Here is a 14,903-nt window from a genome sequence, read left to right on the forward strand (position 1 = left end):
CAGCGTGTGGGGAGGGAATGGTGTCCCTGTTCCCATCACGGGCCTACTCAGCACTGGGTGGAATTCGACACTGCAGGCAGACAGGCAGAGACTAGAGACCAGGAGCAGCAGGTGGGGTGGCCGCCGTGTTTCCATTGGCATGCATCAGAGGTGCGTGGGCTCCCAGAGCCCGACAGGCCTGAAACGCCCAGACACACAGATACAGGGACACACGGGAGGGGGGCCGCCATGGCACTCCGTGTCTCGCCTGGTGCTGGGCTCTGTGCCATCTCCAGTGAGGGGCTCTCTCCAGGAGGGCAAAGGCCCCCCACCCTCCCAGGAGGTGCCTTTACTCCACGGACTTGCCAGGATCCACAGCCTGGGACCGTGGGCATGTGGGTGAAGGCCCGGTGCACAGCTGCTAGAAGTGAGCAGCACAGCTCCTGAGACATGAAAAGGTAAAAGAAAAAATAAAAGCTGGCCCTTTTTTTTTTTTTTTTTTAAAGCTGACTCTTTTGTGAGGTTTATTATGTGCTGGCTGCTGTTTTAATAACAATAATTTTATAAATCCAAGAACTAGACGCTGATATTAACAACTCCCCCCTTTAAAAAAAAAAAAAACACTGGGTGCGGTGGCTCATGCCTGTAATCCCAGCACTTTGGGAGGCTGAGGTGGGCAGATCACGAGGTCAGGAGTTCGAGACCAGCCTGACCAACATGGTGAAACCCCATCTCTACTAAAAATACAAAAGAATGAGCCGGGCAAGGTGGCACGCGCCTGTAATCCCACTTACTCAGGGGGCTGAGGCAGGAGGATCGCTTGAACCCAGGAGGCGAAGCTTGCAGTGAGCTGAGATCGCGCCATTGCACTCCAGCCTGGGCGACAGAGTGAGACTCTGTCTCAAAAAAAAAAAAATGAAACAAAATAAAATAAAATAAAATAAAGGTTTTATTTTGAGCTAATTATAGATTCATAATAGGCAGTTGTAATAAATGGTATAGAGAGAGCAGTGTACTCTTTACCCAGTTCCCCCAAAGGAAACCTCTTAGGAAACTGTAATAGCAGGGCCACGGTCTCATGACTAGGTGCTGAGATTGACACAGGGCCCAGAACAGCCCGTCCCGGGAGGGCCCCTCATGCTGCCCTTCTATGGCTGCACCCACCTTCCTCCTACTTACCTCACCCACCTTCCCTTTACTCGCTGGCAACCACTCATCTGTGCATTTGTATAATTTTGTCATTTCGATGATCTTAGATAAATGAAGTCATACCTTTGGATTTGCCTTTTTCACCCATTTGCTTCATGAAATACTATGAACAAAGCTGTATACACATTCATGTACAGGTTTTTGTGTAAATATAAGTTCTCACTTCTCTGGGATAAATGACCAAGAGTACAAAGAGTACAATCATTAGGCCATGCTGTAGTCACATTTTTAGTTTTTTAAGAAACTGCCAAACTCTCAGCCAGAGTGGATGTCCCGTTTCACATTTCCAGCAGCACAGGAGCCGTCCCTTCTCCACAGCCTCGCCGGCACGGGGGTTGTCTCTGTATTTTTTTTTTTTTTTTTTTTTTGATTCTGATAGATATGTCGTGATCGTTGTGGCTTTGATCTGCATTTCCATGATATTGGACGTCTTTTCATGTGGTTCTCTGCCATCTGCATATCCTTTTATTTTTTTTCAGATGGAGTCTCGCTCTGTCATCCAGGCTGGAGTGCAGTGGCTCTATCTCAGGTCACTGCAAGCCCCTGGGTTCACGCCATTCTCCTGCCTCAGCCTCCCGAGTAGCTGGGACTGCAGGCGCCCGCCACCACGCCCGGCTCATTTTTTGTATTTTTAGTAGAGACGGGGTTTCACCGTGTGAGCCAGGATGATCTCGATCTCCTGACCTCGTGATCCGCCCACCTCGGCCTCCCAAAGTGCTGGGATTACAGGCATGAGCCACCGTGCCTGGCCCTACATATCCTTTTAGTTGAAATGTGTCTTCATATATTTTGCTCATATTCCAGTTGGATTGTTTGATATTAGTCTATTGCTTGATATGTGGTTTTTCAGATATTTTTTCCTACTCTGTAGCTTTTTTCTCCCATTTTCGTAACAGAGACTTTGCGCAGCAAAACTTTTAAATTTTGATGAAGTCCAATTTGTCCGTTTTTCCTTTTGTGGATAAGGCTTGTGGTGCGAACTCTTTGCCAGCCCTAGAGCGTGAAGATTTTTCCCGTGATTCTCTTTTTCTAAAAGTTTTGTTATTTTACATTTTACACATATCAGCTGTGAGGTTTAGGTTGAGGAGTTTGTTTTGTTTTTTGCCTGTGGGTGTCCAGTGGCACCAGCACCATTTGTTGAAAGGGCTGCATTTCTTCCATTGAATTGCTTTTGTGCTTTATCAAAAACCAACTGGGCGTGCTTGTCTGGACCTATTTCTGGGTTCTTTATTCCGTTCCATTGATCTGTGTGTGTCCCTCGTACCACACAGTCCTGATCACGGTAGTTATGTAATAAGGCTTGAAACTGGGTAGTACTTACTCCTCCCAATTTATTCTTTTTCTTTCAAATTATTTTAGCTATTCTAGGTACTTTGCCTTTCATATACATTTTAGAATAATCTTGTCAATATATACAAAAAATCTTGATATATAAAAAAAATCAGTTTCAAGCCAGAATTATATAAAACCTGTATGTTAGTTTATGAACATTTTTACTATGTTAAGTCTTCCAATCTAGGAACATGGTATATTTCTCCATTTATGTAGATCTTTGATTGCTTTCATCGGCATTTTGCAGTTTTAGGGATACAAGTCCTGTACATGTTTTGTTACATTTACATCTAAGTATTTCTTTTATTTTGTGTGATTATAGATGGTATTGCATTTTAAATTTTGGTATCTGTATGTCCATTGCTAGTATATAGAAAAACCATAGATTTCTATATGTTTATCATGCTAAACTAACTTAGTAGTAGTTCTAGGACAATTTCTTTGGAGATTCTCTGGAATTTCCTATGTTGACAAACACGTCATCTGCAAAGAGGAACAGCTTTGTTTCTTCTCTTAAAACCTGAATGCCTTTTCTTTTCTTACCTTATTGCATTTACTAGAACTTCTAGTACTGTGTTGAAGAGTGGTGTGGCGAGAGAGGCATTGTTACTTTGTTCCAAATTTCAGGAGGAAAACATTCTGACTTTAACCATTAAGAATAATGTTAGTGGCTGGGCGTAGTGGCTCACGCCTGTAATCCCAGCACTTTGGGAGGCCAAGACAGGCAGATCACGAGGTCAGGAGATCGAGACCATCCTGGCTAACACGGTGAAACCCTGTCTCTACTAAAAATACAAAAAGTTAGCCGGGTGTGGTGGCAGGCGCCTGTAGTCCCACCTACTCGGGAGGCTGAGGCAGGAGAATGGCGTGAACCTGGGTGGCGGAGCTTGCAGTGAGCCGAGATTGCACCACTGCAGTCCAGCCTGGGGGACAGAGCGAGACTCTGTCTCAAAAAAAAAAAAAAAAAAAAAAGTTAGCTGTAGGGTTTTGTAGTTGCTCTTTATTAAGTTGAGGCAGTTTCCCTCTGTTCCAGTTTTCCAGGCACTATTATAGTAAATGACTGTTAGATTTTATCAAATGCTTTTTTTGCATTGGTATGATCATGTGATGTTTCTTCTTTAGGATGTTAATACAGTGGATTACAGTGGTTGATTTTTTGAGTCTTGAACTAGGGATACATCCCTGGAATAGACATGGTTGTGGTATATAATTCTTTTGATATTGCTGAAGTCTATTTGCCAATATCTTGTTAAGGATTTTTACATATGTATTCATGAAGGCTATTGGTCTGTAGTGTTTTTTGGTACCGTCTTTGTCTTGTTTTGATGTCAGTGTGATACAAGCTTCATAAAATGAATTTAGAAATGCTCTCCCTCTTCTATTTTCTAAAAGCCGTTGTGTGAAAACGGAATTAGTTCTTTAATGTTTGTTAGAAAAATCTACAGTGAATCCAACTGGCCCTGGAGATTTCCTTTTTGGGAGCTTTCAAGTTACGCATTCACTTTCCTTACGAGTTATGTGGATGTTCAAATGATCTGTGTCATGTTGGGTCCGTCGTGTGAGTTTGCATTTTCTGAGGAAGTGGTCCATTTAGTCCAACTCGTTGAATTTATGTGTGTAGAGTTGTTCACAGTGTTCCCTCATTGTCCTTTTGATGTCTGTAGGGTTTGTAATAGCTCGTTTCATTTCTTATATTAGTAATTTTTGTCTTCTCTTTTTGTTCCTGTGTGTGTGGGGCTTTTTCTTTCCGGTCAGTCTTGCTGGAAATTTGTCAATTATGTCAGTTTTTTTTCCCAGAGAGCCAGCTCTCTGTTTGTATGGTTGATTTTCTCTTTTTTGCTTACTATTTCATTTATTTCTGCCCTTATTTTATTACTTCCTTCATTCTGTTTGATTTGAGTTTATTTTACTCTTCATTTTCTCTGTTCTTGTGGCAAGAGCTTAGACTAGTGATTGCAGTTTTTGTTTTTTTCTAACATATACATATAATACTATAAATTTGCTTCTTAGGTTGGGTGCGGTGGCTCATGGTTGTAATCCCAGCACTTTGGGAGGCCAAGGCAGGTGGATCACCTGAGGTCAGGAGTTCAAGACCAGCCTGGCTAACATGGTGAAACCCCATCTCTACTAAAAATACAAAAATTAGCCAGGCGTGGTGACGGGCGCCTGTACTCCCAGCTACTCAGGAGGCTGAGGCAGGAGAATCACTTGAACCCGGAAGGTAGAGGTTGCGATGAGCCGAGATCGTGCCACTGCACTTCAACCTGGGCAACAGAGCAAGACTCCGTCTCAAAAAATAAAAGGAAAAACAAAAAGTTTGCTTCTTAGCACTACTTTAACTGTATACTACACATTTTAATATGTTGTATTTTCGATTTAATTCAATTCCGTGTATTTTATTTTGTGTTTTTATCATTTTAATCATTATTATTATTATTATTATATTTTTGCAGCGATCTCAGCTCACTGCAACCTCTGCCTCCTGGGTTCACACCATTCTCCTGCCTCAGCCTCCCGAGTAGCTGGGACTATAGGCACCCACCACCATGGCCAGCTAATTTTTGTATTTTTAGTAGAGATGGGGTTTCAAATGAAATTTTATTTACCCACATTTTTACTCTTTCCATTTTTCTATCTTCCTAATGGCCAACAATTAAAATAAAAATAATATTCTTTCTGTTTAGATAAATTTCTTTAATTATTCTTTCAGGATAGGTCTGCTGGTGACAAATTCTCTTAATATTTATTCACCTGAGAATGACCTGATTTCCCCTCCATTCCCCAAAGATATTTTGCTGGATATAGACATCTGGGTTGACAATTCTTTTCTTTCAGCATGTGAAAATACTGTGCAACTGCCTTCTGACCTTCATGGTTTATGATGAGAAATCTTCTGTCAGCTGAGTTGTTTTTCCAAATAGAAAAGGTATTATGTTTCTCTGATGCTTTCAATAATTTTTGTTTTTAGTTTTTGGAAATTTGACTGTGATGCATCTTGTTTTGATTATCTTTGAGTTGATCCTGTTTGGGGTCCCCTCAGCTTCTTGAATCTGTAGGTTTATTTCTCTTACCAAATTTGGCAAGTTCTCAGCCATTATATCTTTGAGTACTTTTTCAGTCCTGCCTTCATTCTCCTTTTTTTCTGGAACTCTGATGATACTAATATTATGGTTCCATAGTTCCTTGAGGCTCTGTTGTTCTTCTTCTTCTTGTTTTTTCTTTCTTTTTATTTTTTGAGACAGGGTCTTAATCTGTTGCTCAGGCTGGAGTGCAGTAGCATGATCATGGCTTGCTGCAGCCTCCACCTTCCAGGCTAAAGCAATCCTCCCACCTCAGCCTCCCGAGTAGCTGGGACTACAGGCACATGCCACCAAGCCTGAATACTTAAAAAAAATTTTTTTTTTTTTTTTTGAGATGGAGTCTCCCTCTGTCACCCAGGCTGGAGTGCAGTGGCACGATCTCAGCTCACTACAAGCTCCACCTCCTGGGTTCACGCCATTCTCCTGCCTCAGTCTCCCAAGTAGCTGGGACTATAGGCACCCGTCCCCATGCCCACTTAATTTTTTGTATTTTTAGTAGAGACGGGGTTTCACCATGTTAGCCAGGATGTCTCGATCTCCTGACCTCATGATCCGCCTGCCTCAGCCTCCCTAAAAATTTTTTTGTTGAGATGGAGTCTAACTATGTTGCCCAGGCTGGTTTAAAACTCCTGGACTCAAGCAGTCCTCCCGCCTCAGCTTTCCAAAGTGCTGGGATTGTAGGTGTGAGCCACCCTGCCTGGCCTTCTTTTTTCTCTCTTTCTTTCTTTTTTTTTTGTCAGTTGGAGTCTCTCTCTGTTGCCCAGGGTGGAGTGCAGTGCTGCAATCTCAGCTCACTGCAACCTCCGCCTCCTAGGTTCAAGCAATTGTCCTGCCTTAGCTTCTTGGGTAGCGGGATTACAGGCGCGCTCCACCATGCCAGGCTAATTTTTGTATTTTTTTTTTTAGTAGAGGTGGGGTTTCACCATGTTGGCCAGGCTGGTCTCGAACTCCTGATCTCAGATGATCCACCTGTCTTGGCCTCCCAAAGCGCTGGGATTGGGATATGCTTTCTTAACCTCAGTTTCCTTCTCTTACAAAGAACTGTGTAGTCTGCCAACTCCTGAGGGTGTCATGAGAGTCCCTGGCTTGTAGTAATGGCTCACCGCTGTCGTGTGTGTGCTTGGGGTTGGGGTTCCCCGCATGCCATGCCTAGCTCTTCTTCTCCCCTGTCCTTGCTTTGGAGCAGGCTAGGTGGCTCCCACTTCTTGGCCTGTTAGAGCAGGGACTGGGGTGGGGAGGCCGAGGGGATGCTGTGGCGTCTTTGGCCGAGAACTGCCGGCTCTCTCCATGGCAACTGCAAGCAGGCTTCTGGGTGAGAACCAGTGCCTGGAAGGTCAGTGACAAAGCAGATCCTGGAGATGGTGCCTCCCCTGCCAGCTTGGCTCCCATGTAGAACCAGCCTGAGAGTAGTAAGCAGTCTCCCTGGACTGGGCCTGACTGGCACCTGACCCACCTGCCCCGGCCCAGGGACCCCCGCACCTGTGCAGGATTTGTGGTCTCCCCTGGCTCAGCGCAGACCCTCTGAGGGGCTGGTCCAGGTTGATGGGGCGTGGGTAGGGCTCTGTGCCACAGGGACGGGGTACAGGGGCTGGCCAGCGTGGGCCAGATGCATGGGGACAAGGGAGCATCCATAGTTTCTCATAGAACATAACAGCTCTGAGTCCCCAGTCACCTCTGCCAGCTCTTGGCATTTTCAGAACTGGGGGGTCCTGTGGGGTATGGCTGGGCTGTGAAGTGTGGAGGTGGCTAGACCAGGCCTGACTGGGGTGTGCCCCAGAAGCTCCTCACAGACGGCTGTGGAAAGGCAGGGTGCCCCCCTGGCCCACGCGGAGGGTGTGTGAGGTGCCCCCCTGGTCCAGGTGGAGGGCGTGTGGCTGGGACCTAGAGTCTGGGGGATGTGAGGTGAGTTTTGGGTTAGGGTTAGGGGGCCCAGAAGAAGCCTGCAGCAGTGTGGTTCCAGCCTTCCTCCCCTCTGTGGGGCTGGGAGCACTCCCCGACCTTGGGTGCCAGAGTGAGGGCGGGTCTTTACATGTGTGACTGCTGTTGTGTCTCTGCTGTGTGTGTCTGCGCCGTGTGTCTCTGTGTCTGTGTATGTGTGTCTCTGTGTCCGTGTCTGTACTGTGTGTCTCTGTGTCTGTGTCTGTGTGTCTCTGTGTCCGTGTGTCCATGTCTGTGCTGTGTGTCTCTGTGTCTGTCTATGTGTGTCTCTGTGTCCGTGTGTCCATGTCTGTGCCGTGTGTCTCTGTGTCTGTGTATGTGTGTCTCTGTGTCTGTGTGTCTGTGCTGTGTGTCCCTGTGTTTGTGTATGTGTGTCTCTGTGTTCGTGTCTGTGCTGTGTGTCCCTGTGTCTGTGCCGTGTGTCTCTGTGTCTGTGCTGTGTGTCTCTCTGTCCCTGTGTCTGTGTGTCCCTGTGTCCTTGTGTCTGTGTGTGTACCGTGTGTCCCTGTGTCTGTGTGTCCTTGTGTCTGTGCTGTGTGTCCCTGTGTCTGTGTCTGTGTGTCCTTGTGTCCGTGTGTCTGTGTGTGTACCGTGTGTCCGTGTGTCTGTGTCTGTGCCATGGTGTGTCTCTGTCTGTGCCTTGTGTCTGTGTGTCTGTGCTGTGTGTCTCTGTGTCTGTGTCCCTGTGTCCGTGTCTGTGCTGTGTGTCTCTGTGTCCGTGTGTCCGTGTCTGTGCTGTGTGTCCGTGTGTCTGTGCTGTGTGTCTCTCTGTCCCTGTGTCTGTGTCTGTGTGTCCTTGTGTCTGTGTGTCTGTGTCTGTGCTGTGTGTCTCTGTGTCCCTGTGACTGTGTTTGTGTCTGTGTGTCTCTGTGTCCCTGTGTCAGTGTCTGTACTGTGTGTCTCTGTGTCTGTGTCCCTGTGTCTGTGTCTGTTCTGTGTGTCTCTGTGTTCCTGTGTCTGTGTCTCTGTGTCTGTGTGTCCGTGTCTGTGCCATGTGTCCCATCCCTATGTCTGTGCCGTGTGTCTCTGTGTTCCTGTGTCCGTGTGTCTGTGTCTATGCCTGCGTGTCTGTGTGTCCCTGTGTCCATGTCTGCAACCTCCACCGCCCTCCCGGGTTCAAGTGATTTTCCTGCCTCAGCCTCCTAAGTAGCTGGGATTACAGGCGCATACCACCAAGCCCAGCTGATTTTTGTATTTTTAGTAGCGATGGGGTTATTATTATTTTGCATTATTTTGGTGATACAGATTGTCAGAGTGGACTGGGTACAAGTGTTTAAACATTTCATGGCTCCTGAGACATTTTGCCAATTTGTTTTCCAAATGGGATATATAAGTTTGTATTCCACCAGTTCTGTGTACATCATTAGGGTTTTTTTGTGATTTTTTTTTTTTTTTTTTTTTGAGACTGAGTCTAGATCTGTTGCCCAGGCTAGAGTGCAGTGGTGCGATCTCAGCTCACTGCAACCTCAACCTCCAGGGTTCACATGATTCTCCTGCCTCAGCCTCTTGAGTAGCTGGGACTACAGGCACCCACGACTACACCTGGGTGATTTTTTGTATTTTTAATAGAGACGGGGTTTCACCATGTTGGTCAGGCTGGCGTGGAACTCTTGACCTCAAGTGATCCACCCGCCTCGACCTCCCAAAGTGCTGGGATTACAGGCGTGAGCCACTGCATCTGGCCTAAATCATTAGTTTTAATGTCAGCTTTGCCACCACTGGATATATTTTCTTGTTATATCCAGTGTTTTATATCCAGCTCTTGTTAATTTATTCAATATAAATCTGTACCTTGTTGTCCTTTTCCATTACTGATGAGTTTGAGCATGTTCACACATTACTAAATGGTGTTTACTTTTGTGAGTTGTCTCTGGGGTTCTTTGCCATTTCATTTTGGAAATTTCTCCATTAACGTTTATTGAGTGCACACTGCCTACCAGGTACTGTGCCTGGCCTGGAGCTAAGAAGGAAAACACTGCTTCCTCCTGGAGAAGGAGAAACTAGGGGTGGAGTGAGAGGTCCCACTGGCTCCTAGCCCCTCCCCAACACCCCTCCTCTCCAAGGCAGCTGTTGCCTCCTTGCTTTTCAGTAGGATTTTTCTAGAGCCTAAGGCTTCAGGGCGTAGAAAGTACCCAATACTTGTGTTGGTATTTAATACTTGTTAAGTTCGCATGTGTGTGTTGTAATTTCCTTTTTTCTATTGTTGTTAATATAACATCTTTAATTTAAATACCTCAAAGTTGTTTTATTTAGTATTTGTTTACATGTCAGCAGAGGATAAACATTTTTCTTTTCTGTTTACAAAAAGTAACTGATTTTCTTACTTTATGACACACACTGCCACCATCCTGTGATATCCACTGTTAATATTTTGAGCTATTTCCTTCCTTCCAAGCTTTTTCGGTGTGTAGGTTTTTAAATACACAATTGATATCACCCTCCAGGGCTACTGCGGGCACCCCCCTCCTGTCGTGGGCAGGCCACCTGGTGCAGCTGTGCCGGCTGGTACAAGATGCAGGGTGAGGGCCCCACGAGTGCTCACTGCACACAGATGTCTCAGCATCTGATGTCCCGGCAACCCCCACTGCCGAGTGTCCTCTGAGGAGACGATTCTGCCTTGTGGGCAGAACTCTGTCAGATTCCTCTTGTCAAGCATTTGGGTTATTTCCTATTTTGCTTTTGTAGATAAACCAAAACGCATACCTATATCTTTAGACATCTCTGATTATTTCCTTGGGACAAATGCCTAAAAGTTGGATGAGCTTTGTTTTTCCTGTAAATTATACTATTAAAAAACTCTTCACCGGTGGCTCACGCCTGTAATTCCAGCACTTTGGGAGGCTGAGGCGGGCGGATCACGGGGTCAAGAGATCGAGACCATTATGGTCAACACGGTGAAACCCCGTCTCTACTAAAAATACAAAAAAAAATTAGCCAGGCATGGTGGTGCGCGCCTGTAGTCCCAGCTACTCGGGAGCCTGAGGCAGGAGAATCACTTGAACCCAGGAGGTGGAGGTTGCAGTGAGCCGAGATTGAGCCACTGCACTCCAGCCTGGCGAGAGAGCGAGACTCCATCTCAAACAAACAAAAACCCTTCACCTTCTCATCACTTGGTCGTGCTCTGCTTCGACTCATACGCATCAGTGGTCTCTCTCTGTCCGTGCCTGTGGTCTCGTTGTGTAGCTCAGAGGAGGGGTTTAATGTCTCATGAAGCCAGTCCCGTTCTCCTTGCTTTTCTTCTTTGAATCATTTTTTAACGTTTTGCCTACTTAGTTTTCCAGATAGATTTTGAGATCATTTTGTTGTAGTCCCAATAACCCCGCTGGGATTTTGATTTATCAGAATCTATAAATTGATTTCAGGGGAATCAAGTTTAGAAATAAATATATATTCTGTCTGTCCATCCAGGAATGTAGTATGTATGAAAATTTATTCAGCTCTCCTTTTTTTTTTGTAAATAGATTTTGTAGTTTCTTTATAAAAGTCACCTGCACTGTTAAAGCTATTCCTAAGTGGTTTGTATTGATTGGCGGCATTTCGATTGAGGCATTTATTTTGTTGCATTTCCTGGCTGTCCCTGTCTGGTGTCACTGCTGGCTTCTGGTGTTTGTCCATCCATCAGGCTGCTGGTTCTGGGTGCCAGTGCACACCCCTTCTGGGTAGAGCTGGGCAGCGCTTTGTTTGCTGATGGGCTTGGACCGAAGTTTTGGTTGTGATTACGGTACCTGGAGGTTGCTTTTCCTGCCAGTTTTTTCCTTTCTCTCATTGGTTTGATCTCATCATCCTGTGCTTTTGGGTTTTGTGCTGCTTTCTGTCTTTTTTGGAAGTCGGGAGGGGCACACAAACCAGAAGGAAGCTTTTCAAGCTGATGCTCTGGACCACTGGGGCTCACAACTTGGGTGAACATCAGAATCATCCTGTAAGGCATGTAAAACCCAGAGTGCTGGGCCCTGCCCTCTGATTTCTGAGTTCTTTCTGGGAAAGAATTAGCATTTCTTTCTTTCAAAATATGTATATATATTTTACTATTTCTCTCTCTCTCTCTCTTTTTTTTTTTTTTTTTTTTTTGAGAGGCAGGGTCTTGCTCTATCACTCTGTTGCCCAGGCTGGAGTGCAGTGGTGTGATCATGGCTCACTGCAGCCTCAACCTCCTGGGCTCAAGCCATCCTCCCACCTTAGCCTCCTGAGGGTGGAACTACAGGTGTGTGCCACCATGCCTGGCTAATTAAAAAAATTTTTTTTTTGTAGAGATGGGTCTCATATGTTGTCCAGGCTAATCTTTAACTCCTGGGCTCAGGCGATCCTCCCACCTCTGCCTCTCAAAGGGCTACGATTACAGGTGTGAGCCACTGCACTGCCTCCGCCTCCCCCCTCCTCCTGCTGTCCCCTCAAGAATTTGCTAATGGTCTGCCAGGTGATGCTGAGGCTGCTGGGAGATCCTGGGTTGGTTCTTAACCAAGTTCCTGGGAGTTTTATCACTGTCTGCCATCGGTGATCATTTTATCTATTTTTTTCCTTATTTCCTATTCATGTCCTACTATGTTGGTGAGAACTCTTAAAACAACATTAAATGAGAATTATGGTGATACTTCTTATTTTGTTATCTGACTTGAAGAAAATCCTTCATGATAAATGTGGGTTTGTTAGTACTCTTGAGAATGGATTTTGTGCGTAGAAAATATTTTTCAGAAACTAGTTTCTAAATGTCAACATTCAATTTTTAAAGTTAGAAATCCAAAAACGTTGGGTTTTTAAAAGCTTTTAGGGGCCAGGCGTGGTGGCTTATACCTGTAATCCCAGCACTTTGGGAGGCCGAGGCGGGTGGATCACGAGGTCAGGAGTTTGAAACCAGCCTAACCAGCATGGTGAAACCCCGTCTCTACTAAAAATACAAAAATTAGCCAGGTGTGGTGGCACGTGCCTGTAGTCCCAGCTACTTGGGAGGCTGAAGCAGGAGAATCGCTTGAACCCAGGAGGCGGAGCTTGCAGTGAGCCGAGATTGTGCCACTGCACTCCAGCCTGGGTGACAGAGTGAGACTCTGTCTCAAAAAAAAAAAAAAAACTTTTAGATTCAACTTATGAAAAATTATATTTGTAAATTTAGCAATTTTTAACATTCATTTTCAAGAAGATTTTAAGTAATGTTTTATCCTATTTTATAAACTTAAGTTAGACATTTAAAATTTTGTTTATAAATTTACTGTAACTAGACCTTCCTAAGTACTTAAGTATTGTATGTTGAATAAATTAAAGTGTAAATATGGTGAGTCATAAATTTGCTTCAATGGTTCAATACTTTCTATAAATTTATTAGGTTTTCAACTTAAAATTACAAGTCTCAATCAGTTCCATTGTATATTTTAAATTCAAATCACAGGGCCAATGTAATGCTAAATACAGCTTCATATGGTCTGATAAATTCTTCATCATAACTCAAAAAATATTAATTCGGAAAATCTGATTTCCACAAACATTGCTACATTTAATTCTCAGCCTTCCTGGGGTTAAATATGCTGGTTCGCTGAAGACACTGTCACCTCCCGACAAGTGAATGGAGGTGTCCTGCCCTTGTCCTAAGACACTGTCACCTCGGACCTGCCCTTGTGCCCTCTGGGCTGCCTCATCACATTTGCTGGCTGGAATGGCTGGAATGTAGACCAGATTTTTTCCTGAAAAATACTAGTGGACTATGGCAAGGGCCTCTCCACTCAAATGCTGGAGGCCTCAGAGGCCCAGTGGGCTGCAGTTAGGTTGTAATTTATTCCAGAGGCTGCTTACACCACTGGAGCGGATTTTGTGTTTTTATGGCTCTCAAGATTATAGAAATGTCCAGCCTGGGTCTACACAACTTTGAATTCTTCGTCAAAAAAGAAGAGATGTTTTCCGGCCCCAGAGGATTATAGCAACTCCTCCTTGTTAAAATGCGTTTCTGTCTTTCATGTCTTTGGCTTGCCAGGGTGACTCCTAAGGCCGCTTTGCTGACATTTCAGGATTTGTCAGAGAGCGTCCTGGTGCCTGGGAGACAGAAAAGCTATAAGGTGAAGGGAGGGAGAAACTTTTCCTCCTATGTAATTTGTCTTACTTGGGAATGGAATTGGAGCTTTGCAGGAGCTGTTCACTGTCTGGGTCATCTGTGTTTCCAGTCTCGGTCTTGCTGACTCCATGCCCGTGTGTTGTGTTATTGAACATACGTGTTCCCCTGCATGTCCATGTGTTGTCTTATTTAACATACGTCTTTCTCTGCATCCCCGTGTGATGCCTTATTTAACATATGTGTGTCTCTGCATCCCTGTGTGATGTCTTAACATACATGTTCCCCTGTATGCCCATGTGATGTCTTATTTAACATACGTGTTCCCCTGCATGCCCATGTGATGTCTTATTTAACATATGTGTTTCTCTTCATCCCCATGTGATGCATTATTTAACATACATGTTTCTCTGCATCCCTGTGTGATGTCTTTTTTAACATATGTATTCCTCTGCATGCCATGTGATGTATTATTTAACATATGTGTTCCCCTGCATGCCTGTGTCTAGTCTTATTTAACATACGTGTTCCTCTGCACTCTCCCCTGGTCTGCATTTCTCTGTACATTGGGAGTTAGCTTGGGAGATTTTTCTTAGAGAACTAAAATATTACAGATGTGGTTGAAGTCTTCTGAATACAGTCCCCCAGTCAGATTCTCTTCTCTTTCTCTTTTTCTCCCTGTGGGAGCAGGTGTCCTGATTTGTGTTTATCCTGCCAGGGCACGTGGGTGTGTGGGCATTCCACCTTTCGCTGTGTGTGTATCCATAAATGATGTAGCGTGTGAGTGTGTCTGTGTATTCACACACAGATATATGATTATTTCACAGCTCTCCTCTACCCCTTAACATTATTTTAAACATTTTTCCATGTTAACGTGCATAGGCTTATTTAGTTTTACATGCTCATTCATTTTTAACTGTGGAATAATATTCCATTGTGTGCATTTGCCACAGTTAATTTTTCTGTCTTCTTGTGAAAGGCATTTTTATTTTCCTTTCTTACTATTACAAACAGGGCTACCCCAGAATGTGCCTGGGGTGTGGTTAGAAGTGGTTTCCTGAATCCTGGGGATGCTCATTTAAAACTTTCCTAGAAGTGGCCAAATACTCTCCAAAACGATTCTACAGTTCTCTCTTCCAACACATCACCAGGCTTTAACACTGTGTGCTAAATGTAGGATGTCAAGTGGCAGCTCTTCGTTATTTTAATCTGGATTTCCCTGATTGCCAATCGTTTTGAGCATCTTCTTCCCTCTTGTAATTTGTTGATTTTTCTGATTAGTTATTTGTATTTTTCATATGAATTTGTAGAAATTTTTTCTACATTCAGAAAAC

At 44.5% G+C, this 14,903-nt stretch overlaps 1 protein-coding gene across 2 annotated transcripts in view; it reads left to right on the top strand.

Annotated features, from left to right (window-relative positions):
- The window catches only part of CACNA1B (calcium voltage-gated channel subunit alpha1 B), a 246,838-nt gene that overhangs the window by 14,987 nt on the left and 216,948 nt on the right, over positions 1 to 14,903 (top strand). The gene's annotated exons all lie outside the window — the stretch shown is intronic.

Source organism: Homo sapiens, chromosome 9, assembly GCF_000001405.40.
Source record: "Homo sapiens chromosome 9, GRCh38.p14 Primary Assembly".
Taxonomy (NCBI): domain Eukaryota; kingdom Metazoa; phylum Chordata; class Mammalia; order Primates; family Hominidae; genus Homo; species Homo sapiens.